The sequence below is a fragment of the Homo sapiens genome, chromosome 8 (assembly GCF_000001405.40).
Source record: "Homo sapiens chromosome 8, GRCh38.p14 Primary Assembly".
NCBI classification, from domain to species: domain Eukaryota; kingdom Metazoa; phylum Chordata; class Mammalia; order Primates; family Hominidae; genus Homo; species Homo sapiens.
In genome coordinates, this window is record NC_000008.11 from 134436874 (window position 1) to 134450548 (window position 13675).

Below are 13675 nucleotides of genomic sequence, written 5' to 3' on the forward strand. Positions count from 1 at the left end.
AACCTAAATCAAAGAGAGTAAAACAAAGGACCCTTGAAACAAGTTCATAAATACAAATAAAGAATCACGAAGAAAAGAGTTGGCCAGCAATCTCCCCACCTCCCACACCGAAGACTTGCCCTTGCAAGGGGGCAGCAAAGGCTGGGAGACAACTGATGGCTTCTGCCACTTGCAGGGCACTGGGAACTCAAATCAAATATGTCAGCACCTGTGTCTAGAGTCAAAGAAGGCCCCATGGAACAAGTCCAGCCTGAGTTTGAATGATGCACAGAGAAACACAGTATTCTAGATTCATAAACTCCCAACCTCATGGAATGAGTCTGGGCTTTGGAGTCAACAGTCTGGGTCTCATTTTTAGCTCTGCTCCCAACTAGCCATATCACAATGTCTTCCTGGGCCTCAGTGATCTCATCTTTAAAATATTACAGAGAAATCATGGAAAGCTTCTAGCAGAGTGCCTGGCATGTAATAGATGCCTAAAATAATATAGCTGATAATAACAGCAAATACTAATGTAGGGTCTATAGGTACCAGGTGCTAAAACATATCTACCTTTACAAGTCTCATAATTACACTCCTGTGAGGGAAATACCATTATGACTATTTTACAAAAGAGAAGTTGAAGCACAAGAAGATTAATAACTTGTTGAAAGTCACACAGCTAGTTACTGGCAGAGTTGGAAGCTAAATTTGGGCAACATTAAACGTTCTCTCACACTGTTCACAGTGTAGTAGTGGTGGTAGTAGAAGAATCATCTGTTACAGTCATGGGCTCTTGGGGAACAAAAAAAGCCCAGGATTTTATTTATTCAACACACCTTAACTGAGAGCATTCTCTGTGCCAAGCATTGGGCCCAGTACTAGGTATACAGTGATGAGAAAACAGATACATTTCTTTCTTAAATTCATTATCTCTGGAAATTCCTAACTGGGGGAAGAAAAAGGAAGAAGCCACAGTGTTACACTTAAGCCAGCTCATATGGGCTCACAAAAGCATATTATTAAATTTTCAGAAATTTTTCATGTGGTTGTCAAATCCAGCCATTATTGAAAATTAAATTATATAAATTTATAATAAATTAAAGACAAACATAAATCCTAAAAACTTGCCACACCCTAATTATTTTACTATAATTTACTGAATCTATGTTGGGAGGGCTGTCTGCACCTATTGAATCTATATGGTGGAGACACTGTGTGGTGGTGGCTACTGAGCATATCTTCCCAGTTCCATGTCAGGGGCATCACAGGCAGTGTGTTAAGAGTGTTTACACCACAGTGATGCGCAAACTCTGAAACTCAGTGCTTGGCTGATTGTTGATTGTCTAAGCTTAAGAGATGAAGAAAATGTCAATACTGCAGATTAAATGTAAAAATGTATTATGTCTTGCCACTACATTGTGAGTATCACTATATAAGAAAACAGTCTAGAATTCAAAAACTACTAGCTGACTCAGCAAAGAAGTTGTTTGCACCATTGAAAAAGGAGCAAAGTTTGGACACACAATTTCATTGTTTCACATTCATGTTACTCATTATCGTAAACAAAATTATCATGTTGAAACTGCTCATTTATCTATTGTAATCAGAGGTTTCTTATAGATAAAATCAACAAAACTGGCAAAAATCAACTAAAGCATTCTGTGAGAATCTATTGGTTATATGGAATTTATAATAAAAATATTGTACATCTTATATTTATAAATTGTGTGCCCATATCCTTTATAAGTAAAATTTATGATGAGCTTATTTATGTATACATATGCATCATTTCTCCCACAGAGCCAATTGTTAAACACTTACCAGCACACTTTTAGAAAAGGGTGAATTAGATCTAATTAATAAGGAATATGGGACAGACATGTATATTTAGAAAATATTCTTCCAAAAAGATTTACAGGCCTCTCCATGACCTCTATTGAGTATGCTGTCTTAGAATTATAAACCCACATGCACTCAGGGCTTTTCTCACTTAAAGTTGTAAGTAAACTTGGTTTAAACCTCCCTTTGCATGGAGTATGTGTACTCAGGGTCTCCCTAGAGCTTCAATAAATCCTGCCCTGTCTTCATCTTGGTGGACTCTACCCACTTCCTTCTCCTTCCTGTTGTCTTGGCTCAGCTTTGGCCTGCCTGGAGCCATTCCTTTCCAAGAAAGAGTCCACCAAGCCAAATGTCTAGAGTTAAAAAAAAAAAAAAAGATGTGGTGAGAAATTCATGGCCCATGGAGCAATCCTCATAATTAATGGGATTAAATGGAAAAATACTCTAGCTTCCTCACCCCTTGGATGAGGCATGGTTGGTAGTGCCTCCCAGAAGAATCACATGCCAATTGTCCCCATCAGTAATCTGCTCAACACAAGTTGAAGAAAGAAAAGCTTGTTTCTTTTTGCTAGCTCACTTTCCCTATTCCCCTACTAGTATTTCCTGGGATCACCTTCTGTCGAGCCATGGCAGAATCAGTTTCATGGCTGTAATGGATGAATTGCAAAACTGGTCCCAAGTCTTCATCTCTTTCTGAATCCAAGTCTTTGAAATATAACTTTGCAGCCCCTCCCATCAGGCCTGTGGCTTCCTCTGGTCAATGGAATACAGTGAAAGGTCAGAAATGGATTATAGTAGAAGGTCAGAAATGGAATGCAGTGAAAGGTCAGAAATGGAATGCAGTGGAAGGTCAGAAATGGAATGCAGTGGAAGGTCAGAAATGGAATGCAGTGGAAGGTCAGAAATGGAATGCAGTGGAAGGTCAGAAATGGAATGCAGTGGAAGGTCAGAAATGGAATACAGTGGAAGGTCAGAAATGGAATACAGTGGAAGGTCAGAAATGGATAACATGGTGAAACCCCATCTCTACTAAAAACACAAAAAATTAGCTGGGCGTGGTGGCGGGTGCCTGTAGTCCCAGCTTCTTGGGAGGCTGAGGCAGGAGAATGGCGTGAACCTGGGAGGCAGAGCTTGCAATGAGCTGAGATCGCACCACGGCACTTCAGCCTGGGTGAAAGAGTGAGACTCCATCCCAAAAAAAATTAAAAAAAAAGAAAGAAATGGAAGGCAGTGGAAGGTCAGAAGTGAAAATACAATGGAAGGTCAGAAATGGAATGCAGTGGAAGGTCAGAAACGGAATGCAGTGGAAGGTCAGAATGAAATACAGTCGAAGGTCAGAAATGGAATGCAGTGGAAGGTCAGAAATGGAATGAAGTGGAAGGTCAGAAGTGAAATACAATGGAAGGTCAGAAATGGAATGCAGTGGAAGGTCAGAAATAAAATACAGTGGAAGGTCAGAAATGAAATACAGTGGAAGGTCAGAAATGGAACACAGTGGAAGGTCAATGTGCCAGTTCTGAACCTGGACTTCGAGAAACCTTGTGCACTTTTACTCTCTCTCTCTCTCTCTCTCTCAATCCTTTACCATCAGAACACACTTGGTTATCTTGATGGGGGATAAGACATTTGAAGTAAAGCCAACCCAGCGCTGTTGCCCAAACCAAAGCCTCAGACATGTGAGAGAGCTCAGACAAGATTAGCCAAATTTCAACTGGCCACAAAAGTATGAGTGAGCCCAGCCAAGCCCAGCTAAGATCAGCAGAACCAGTCAGCTGAACTATAGACATGTAAACAAAAATAAATATTTATCATCGTATGCTACAAAGATTTTGTGATTAGTTATTCCACACAAGACTCTAGCAAAAGATAACTTGACTATGGGTCCCATTTTCCTGTTTCTTTATATCCAGTAATTTGGAATTATATCCTGGACATTGTAGAAGATATACTGTCTGGATTCTGGATTCTGTTATGTTCCTCTCAAGATTATTGATTTTCATTTAGGCAGGCAGCTATCTTGGCTGAACTCAAACTTCAAAGTCTGTCTCCCCTTCAGCAGGCAGCAGTGAAATTTCTACCCAATTATTTTCATTTTAGCTGGACTACTTGTAATTTGCCCTAAGTCTGCATAGTTCAAGCCATAAATTCAGGGAGAATTTATACACAGAATCTGGGCTTCCCCTTTGTGTTTCTCTTCATTGCGGGATTTTGCCTATCATTTCAGACATGTAGTAGTGGTCCCAAACTCATTCTTCTTGATCCCTCAGTAAGCAAGGCTTCAGGTATCTATCTAAACTTCTGTGACCCTGAGGAGCAACAACTGGAATCTGCAGGTTCAAAACTGTAGAAATGAAAAGCACATTCAGAGCTGATTTATTCTTCCAGGTTTCTGAAATCCCCTGTCATTTCTGCCTGTTTTTGTCACTCTTTAAGACCTTCACATTGTTACTTAAAAAATATTTTGGTCAGAGTTTTACAGTTGACCTTTGAACAAACACAGGTTTAAACAGTACAGACCCAATTATATGCAGATTTTTCAATAAATATAGTGAAGAATTTTTGGAGATTTTTGACAATTTGTAAAGACTTGCAGATAAACCAAGTAAAAAATATCAAAAAATTAAGAAAAAGTATGCATGCAATTGTTAATTCCAGCACTATTCACAATAGCAAAGACATGGAATCAACCTAAATGCCCATCAATGGTAGACTGGATTTAAAAAATGTGATACATATACACTATGAAATAGTATGCAGCCATAAAAAAGAATGAGATCATGTCCTTTGCAGGAACATAGATGGAGCTGGAGGCCATTATCCTTAGCAAGCTGATGCGGGAACAGAAAACCAAATACCACGTGTTCTCACTTATAAGTGGGAGTTAAATGATGAGAACCCATGAACACAAACAAGGGAACAAGAGATACAGGGGCCTACTTGAGGGTGAAGCATGGGAGGAGGGAAAGCAGCAGAAAAATAACTATTGGGTACTAGGCTTAGTATCTGGATGATGAAATAATCTGTACAATAAAGCCCCATGACACAAGTTTACCTATATAACAAATCTGCACATGTACCCCTGAACCTAAAAGTTAGAAAAAGTTAGGTATGTCATGAGTGCATAAAATATATGTAACTATTTTATCATTTACTACCATAAAATATACACACATCTATTATAAAAAGTTGAAATTGATCAAATCTCACACCCAGACCATACATGGTGCTATTTAAGAGAAATGTAAACAAATATAAAGATGAAGTATTAAATCGTAACTACATAAAATCAACTGTAGTAATTTACCACTGTAATAATTTTGTAGCCACCTCCTATTGCTACTTCAGTGAGCTTGAGTGCTGTATCTACAGAAAATGCCATGTGTCACTAATTATCTCCCTATGAGCAGTTACTCTCTTTAGTAAATTGTGTATTATAGTAAAAAGTGATCTCTCACAGTTCTTATGTATTTTTCATCATGTTTAGTACAATACCATAAACTTGGAATAATACCACGGGACTCATGTCACTAGTGATGCTGGCAGTGCTGCCAAGAAGCAGAGAAAAGTCATGACGTTACAAGAAAAAGTTAAGTGGCTTGATATATACCTTAGACTGAAGTCTGCAACTGTGGTTGCCTGCCATTTCAAGATAAATGAATCCAGCCCACAGACCATTGTAAAAAAAAAAAAAAAAAAAGAAGAAGAAAAAATTGCAAAGCTGTCACTGCAGCTACACCAGCAGGCACAAAAGTCTTGCACTTTTTGTGCAATACTTTTTTATCTTATACTGAAAATACAGCTTTTATGTGGGTGCAGGATCACTAAGAAAAGCATGCCTATAGATTCTAGTAAGATTTGAGAAAAAGTGAAGTCACTACATGACAATTTAAAGCAAACGGGAGGTGAAGGATTCAAAATGGGAGAATTTAATGCCAGCAAAGGATGGTTTGATAATTTTAGAAAGATGTTTGGCTTTAAATACATCAAAATAACAGGAGAAGCAGGTGCTACTGACCAAGAGGCAGCAGATGAGTTACCAGAGTCATTAAGAAAATCATTGAGGAGAAAGAATATCTGCCTGGACAGGTTTATAATGCAGATGAAAGTGCCTTAATCTGGAGGGAAAATGCCACAAAATACATTTATTAGTAAGGAAGAGCTAGCAAGCATCAGGGTTTAAGACAGGAAGAGACAGGCTAACTCTACTGTTTTGTGCAAATGGAGTCAGGTTTATGATCAAGATTGCCCTTATCTATAAAGATGCTAGCCCCTGAGACTTGAAAGGAAAATATAAACACCAGCTGGTAGTCTTTTTTTGTACAAGAAGGTCTGAATGAGAACCAGTTTTCTGGACTGGTTCCATCAATGCTCTGTCTCTGAAGTCAGAAAATACCTTGCCAATAAGTGATTGTCTTTTAAAATTCTTTTGATAATGGAAAATGCCCCGGCCACCCAGAATCCCATAAGCTCAACACCAAAGTCATTGAAATGGTCTACTTACCCCCAAACACGACATCTCTAATTCAGCTTCTAGATCAGTGGGTCACAAGGACCTTTAAAGCTCATTACATATGTACTCTATGAAAAAAAGGCTGTCAATGCTATGGAAGAGAACACCAATAGAGAGAACATCACAAAAGTCTAAAAGGATTACACCACTGGCAATGCCATCATTTTTTAAGAAAAGGCCATGAAAGCCATCATGCCTGCCCCAAACAATAAATGCCTGTTTGAGAAAACTGTGTCCAGATGTGCATAATGTCACAGGATTTACGAAAGAGCCAATCAAGGAAATCAAGAAAGATTGTGAATTTGGCCAAAAAAGTCAGGGGCGAAGGGTTTCGGGATATGGATCTTGGAGAAATTCAAGTGCTTATGCACACCAAACCAGAAGAATTAACAGAAGACAACTTGATGGAGACAAGTGCTTCCAAACCAGTGCCAGATCATGAGGAAGATGACACAGAAGCAGCAGTGCTAGAAAACAAAGTGACATTAGACAGTCTGGCAGAAGGATTCCGATTACTCAAGACTGCTTTTGACTTCTTTTATGACATGGACTCTTCTATGTTCTAGGCACTGACACTAAAGCAAAGGGTGGAAGAAGAATTGGCACCAAATAGAAACATTTCTAAAAAAAATGAAAAAATACAGAAATTGTGATGTATTTCTATAAAGTTACACCAAGTGTGCCTGCCTCTCCTGTCTCCTCTTCTACCACCTTCACCTCTTCTGCTTCTCCCACCCTTGAGATAGCAAGACCAACCTCTCCTCTTCTGATGGGGATGAAGACCTTTATGATGACCCACTTCTACTTAATGAATAGTAAATACATTTTCTCTTTCTTATGATTTCCTTAATAACATACTCTTTTCTATAGCTTACTTTATTATAAGAATACAGCATATAATATACAAAATATGTGCTGACTGACTGTTTATGTTACAGCAAGGCTTCTGGCCAACAGTAGGCTATTAGTAGTTTAAATTCTGTAGAAGTCAAAAGTTATTAAATACGTAGAGTTTTGACTGCATAGGGAGCTAACACCCCTAACCTCCTTGCTCAAGAGTAAACTATAATTGTTATTGGCAAGAGGGTTGGTTTACCAGAATTGACTTTGTAATTCCCAGAATAATTACATACATAATTACAAACTTTCAGCAATAGGTAACTAGTGCAATGGGTTAATAGAACTACAGCACTTTCTGTTATGGTAGCTTAAGTTCAAATAAACAAAAAGCCTTAAAGTTGGAAAAGGACCATTAGAGTCATCTAGTGTTTGCTTAAGCCAGGTATTCAATCGATGTTTGCTAAATTAAGTTAAATGACAAATGTTAGGATCTCAGGGACTGATTTGTACAGCTGTAACATGGCTGTAATCAATGGCTTATTGACTGTTGTCCAGCCTGATGCTGCAAGAAACGCCTGTTGAGGCTGCTCGTGAAAGTCAGAGATCAAAGGATGTGGGAGAATTGCGCACCTTTACTCCAAACCAGGGAAATCATCTCCCCACCCTGCAGACATTGCTAATGCCTTTATTTACTCTGGGAAAGTTCACAGACCTTGAGGCAGCATTGGGAGAGGCCATAAATGAACGTTATAGTTTGGAGCCTCTCAGAACTAGCAAATGTATTCTCGTAAGCAAAAGTGTTCTAGCATACTGGGATAAAATTAATGACAATATAATTTATCATCTGAAACAAGCACTTATGAAAGTGAAGGGGGATTCTAGTATTAATTATGCTAGGGAAACAGGCCTGAAGTGAGACTGCCACAGAAAAATTGTTATGTATAAGACCTTGAATGATGTTGAGTATGTGCTGCTCTCCCACTGGCATTTTGGGAAATAACATACCCTTGGTGCCCTAGAAGCAATTAAATCACAGGCAATGCAGTTGCTCCCAGGCCCTCTCGTGCACCAACAACACAGCTCCATTGGTGTAGGGCAGGCTCGAACTTCGGCAAGGAGCCCTTGGGAAAGGCAGGAGACTGGAACTGAATATACTGGCCCCATTTTAAAGCTGGTCCCGAGAGATAGCCAGATATCCAATTTTTAGTGTCCAAGGAGCCTGGAGAACTTAAGTCACACAAAGGCTGTTTTACTGAATAGTTGAATGTGGCAAGTAGCAGCTCATTCTGTGGCAGTCCTAGAAGCCATAGACTTCTATTTTGTTTCATTTATTCATTCAACAAACACATATTGGGCCAGGGTACCAGGCCGGGAGATGAGGATACAATGGCAGCTTAGTGTCACCATAGTTTATAGGAGTAGGGGTCTAATCTCTGGAACTTGGGCTTCAAGGGCTAGTCAGGTGGTCAGGGCTCTGCAGCATTTGCTGAGGTTCAGCACTGGGCTGCAGATAAAGTAGAAAATTGGCAAAAACAAAAAGACAAGACAAGAACTAAGGCAAAACCCAGATTTACAAAAAAACACGCACCTTGGGACAAAGCAAAAAACTTGGTGGTGGTGGTGTGCTTGTGAGCACCAGGCTTACTCCTGGCACACCTGATGCTGGGCTTGGGCGCACTGAGGACTCCCAGACCCAGACCCCACCTGCCACTGCCTGTGGATGCTCATGATCTCCAGCTGGGTCCAGGTTGGCTGAGGATAGATGTGTTGAGCCTGAGGCTGACCCGCAGCAGGGCTGGCGAAGCCAGGCAGGCAGCTACCACTGCAGGGCTGGGCTCTCAGGGAAGCCAAGGCCTGTCTGTGGCTAATGATGAGGGAAGGGGAGCAGGAGAAAACCACCAAGAGGTCAGGCACAGCAATGCAAGCCACACCTTCTCCTTCATCCAACTGTGGGCCAGCCCCATTCAAGGTAGACCCAGGGCTTACTGGCTCCATCTAGCATTGCTAACCCTCAAAGACATTGGCATTACTGGTGACACTTTCCAGAAGGACAAGACCACAGGGAGATTTTTAAAACAAAATGCTTTCACTGAACTATTCAATTCAGTAGTTTTACACACACAGAAAGAACCAGTTTTCTGCTGGGCTTACCTGGCTGTAGGGATTCCAAGGATGAAAAGACTCAATCTCCGCCCTCAGGGCTCACAGGCTCGTGGAAGAGACAGTAATTGTATTTAAATGAGCAAGTAGAGGTTTGTTAAATAGAGGTTAAAAGAAGGCACCTGACCAGGGTTAGATTGAAAGGGTTCAGTATCACTTCTAATATTTTCTTAAGCAAAGAAGAGATGCCCTGTTTGGGCAAAGTGATTCTTCTCTAAAGTAACATTTTTTAAAAAAGAAACAGGGTCTTGTTCTGTTGTCCAGGCTGGAATGCAGTGGTGCAATCATAGCTCACTATAACCTTGACCTCCTGGACTCAAGCAATCTTCCTGCCTCAGCCTCTTAAAGCACTAGGATTACAGGCATGAACCCCCATGCCTGGCCCTAGAGCAACATTTCCAAATGCCTTTGAATCATCACCATTAATCCCTTCATGCTTCATTTATTTGTGACAACTGAGAACTTTGCACCATATGTATTCTATACCTTCTTATATCAGTCAATTTCTGTTGAATGCCTACTTTGTGTCAAGGTGAGGTGCTTTTATATATGTATCGGTCAGCTATTGCTGCGTAACAACCACAAAATCTGATGTACAATAAGCATTTGTCACACATCGTAGGGATACCCTGGGGTTAGGTGAGCTTGGCAGGGCTTGAACTGGAGGCTCTTCCTCAAGCTGCAGGTCTGCAAGTGTGCTACTTGATCTGCTCCATGTCTCTCACTCTCCTGGGCAAATGGGCTAGCCAGGGTATGTTCTTCTCCAGGTGACAACAGGGGTGGAAGACCACAAGCCCTGCTGTGTGGGCACACTGTGTCACATCTATCAATATTCCACTGGGCCAAATAAGCCACATGGCCGAACCCAAGGTCAAATGGTGGGGAAGTTCCTCTGTTTTTCTGTGAGAGGAATTGCTAAGTTGCCCGACAGTATTTCTGGATTCAGCAGTGGGTGAAGAACAGAGGTCAAGGATTCAGCTTACCATATTATATACGGTATATCTAATGCCCTCAACACCATGTGAGCTGGATAACACTATCCTTATTACAGAGAGAAAGCTAAGACTTGGGATATTAAATCACTTACCAAGATTGAAGAAAGAGCCAGAATCAAAACAAACACACACCCTGTGTGCTCTCTTTCCTTCCAGTCTTCCAGGCTTCATGCTGATATTGAAGGACTGACCCAGAGGAGGAGCCTTATGTACTTATTTTCTAAGGATAAGAAAAAGAGGACGCCTCTTTGTGCCCTAGAGAGGCCCATGGAAGATTGCTGTGGATTACAGACTCCTGTGTAGAAAGGTGGGAGAGGGGGCTACGTAAAACCCAGGCTGCCTTTAGGGGCTGGGCCTTATATATCCCCTCACTGACAGCACCTGAGCCTGGTCATTCCAAGTGGAGACCTGGTGATGTGTGGAGCCATGTCTCATCCAACTCGAGCCCTTCAACATCAATGATAACTGCCGTGGGCCAAAAGATGTTGTTACAGAGCTAACTGCCCAGGAGGATGAATGTGTCCAGGCTCTGTCACTGAGAAGGAGAGGATGGTGGGAGGGTGGCCAGGGCAGACTCGAGGGGCTAAGCTCCGTCTCATTCCAGCCTCCTGAAGAGGCACCTGGCTCTGGCATTAGGCCGAAAGTTGAATTCTGGCTGCAGCACTCAGGCTCCTCGTCTGTGAAGGGAGAGGGTTGATTTCCACCTTCCAGAGCCTCTGGGGTGCAGGAGGGAAGAGATGAGTCAGGGCCCAGCTGGATCTCTGTACCTTCGGTGCACACAAGTCCCAGCTGCTGAAGGGCTGTGGAGAATTCCACCTGACAAGGATGCTGGGATTACCCTCCAGAGACCCTCTGGGCATCATGCCCCAGCTAGACTTTCAACTTTCCCCTCCTTCCCCACCCTACCTGTATTAGTCACAGTTCTCTAGGGTTTTCAAAAAATTGGCTTACATGTTTTGGAGGCTAGCAAGTCTAAATCTGCAAGTGCTCCGGAAGGAGGTGCTGCTGCCATCAGCAGTAGTGTCTCTTTCTCCTCAGGCAAACCTTAGTTTTGTTTTTAACGTCTTTCATTGATTGGATGATTTCCCATCCAGATTACCTGGAATAATACCTATTTAAAGTCAACTGGTTGTCCATGTTAACCACATCTACAAAATACTTTCACAGCAACACCTAGATTCATGTTTAATGGAATTAGTGGGTACTAAAGCCTGGCCAAGATGCACTGAATTCACCAGAGCCCACCCTTTTTACCTCACAGGCTTTTCCTGAAGAGCTGCCCTCATTAAATCACATGCACCTGGATCCTCCTGTTAGGCTCTGCTTCTAAGGAACCCAACCCGAGCCAAGGGGAAAGGGGGTGCCAAGGGACCACTGGTCCTGCCTTAAGGTATTAAATGATTGGAACAAACCAGTTATTCCATGTCCCAGAAGCAATTGTGTTCTAATGAGGACTGTTGGAAAGAAAAAGGACTTCAGGACCTAAAGGAAGTTCTGTTACTGTAAAGCGGTCCCAATCCAGACTCCAAGCGAGAGTTCTTGGATCTCATCAAAGAAAGAATTTGATGTTCCCCCTTCCTGTGTCCATGTGTTCTCATTGTTCAATTCCTACCTATGAGTGAGAACATGCGGTGTTTGGTTTTTTGTCCTTGCGATAGTTTGCTGAGATGGGTGGGGGTGAGGGGGGAGGGATAGCATTAGGGGATATACCTAATGCTAAATGACGAGTTAATGGGTGCAGCACACCAACATGGCACATGTATACATATGTAACAAACCTGCACGTTGTGCACATGTACCCTAAAACTTAAAGTATAATAATAATAAAATAAAAAAAGAAAGAATTTGAGACGAATCCATAAAGTGAAAGCAAGTTTATTAAGAAAGTAAAGGAATAAAAGAATGGATACTCCACAGGCAGAGCAGCCTCAAGGACTTCTGGTTGCCCATTTTTATGGTTATTTCTTGATGATATGCTCAACAAGGGGTGGATCATTCATCCCTCCCATTTTAGACCATATAGGATAACTTTCTGATGTTACCATGGCATTTGTTAACTGTCATGGCACTGGTGGGAGTATAGCAGCAAAGACGACCAGCGGTCACTCTCGTCGCTATCTTGGTGTTGGTGGGTTTCGGTAGTCTTCTTTACTGCAATCTGGTTTATCAGCAAGGTCTTTTGACCTGTATCTAGTGCTGATCTCCTCATTCTGTGACTTAGAATGCCTAACCGTCTGGGAATGCAAGCCCAGTAGGTCTCAGTCTTATTCTACCCAGCCCTTATTTAGGATGGAGTTGCTCTGGTTGAAACGACTCTGACAGTTCCTCTATGTTAAGGCTTGGCTCAGGGATTCCCCCTCTGCTGGGAGAGAAGTTGGAACCCAGGATTCTTAGCCAGGAAGTGTGGTCACTGATTTCCTCCATGAACAATGACAAGACGTTTGTCTCTGACAATGCCCAGCTGAAAGCTCATGATTGGAGAGGCCATGTTGAGCCTTACCTACATAGAAGCTATGAGGAAGCAGGAAACAAAAAGCAAGCAAAAGCCTTGAATTCTAGACAAGAGGTGCTGAGTAGAGATCATGTCAGCCAGGCACTTAGAGTCAGAAGAGGAAGGAAGCAGACACACTGCTGGAGCAAGGCCACATGGCCTATGACAGAAAGAGACAGAGAGAGTCACTGAGCTTCTCACCCTACCCTAGGCCTCACACATATCTCTCTCACCCCACCTTTCCCTAAGGTGGCCCAAATTGATAGGGAAGGAGGCAGGGAAATTCTGGGCCAAAGAGGGTAGGTCCCCAGCGAGGGCCCCACCCTCAAGCCGAAAAGCCTAATACCATGGCCCAAAGTGAGAACTGACAGCCCTGTTTCCCACTCAAATGTTGCCTTTTCCAAAACAACCCATGGCCTGCCCCACCCCCCATCGTTTGCCTATAAAAACCCCAGAACTCAGCCAGCAGAGAGGAGAAGCAGCTGGACTTAGGAGACTACAGTTGGATGTTGGAGAGAAGCAGCTTGACTTCAGAGGGACAGCTTAATGATGTAGCTTCAGAGAGGAGTCCAGCCAGGGATGGGTGGACTCTGGGGGAAGAATACCTTCCCGCTCCATCCCCTTTTTAGCTCCCCTTCCCGCGGAGAGCTGCTTTCATTGGCAATAAAATCCCCCACATTTACTATCTCCAATTCGTTCATGCAACCGGATTCCTCCTGGACACTGGACAAGAACTCAGGTGCCACAAATGTGGTTGCAAAAGGTTGTCACACTGACCCTCCCCTGAGCTGTTAACACTTAAGCCATCTGCAGATGGCAAAGGTAAAAGGGCACTGTAACACTCCATCTGGGGCTTCA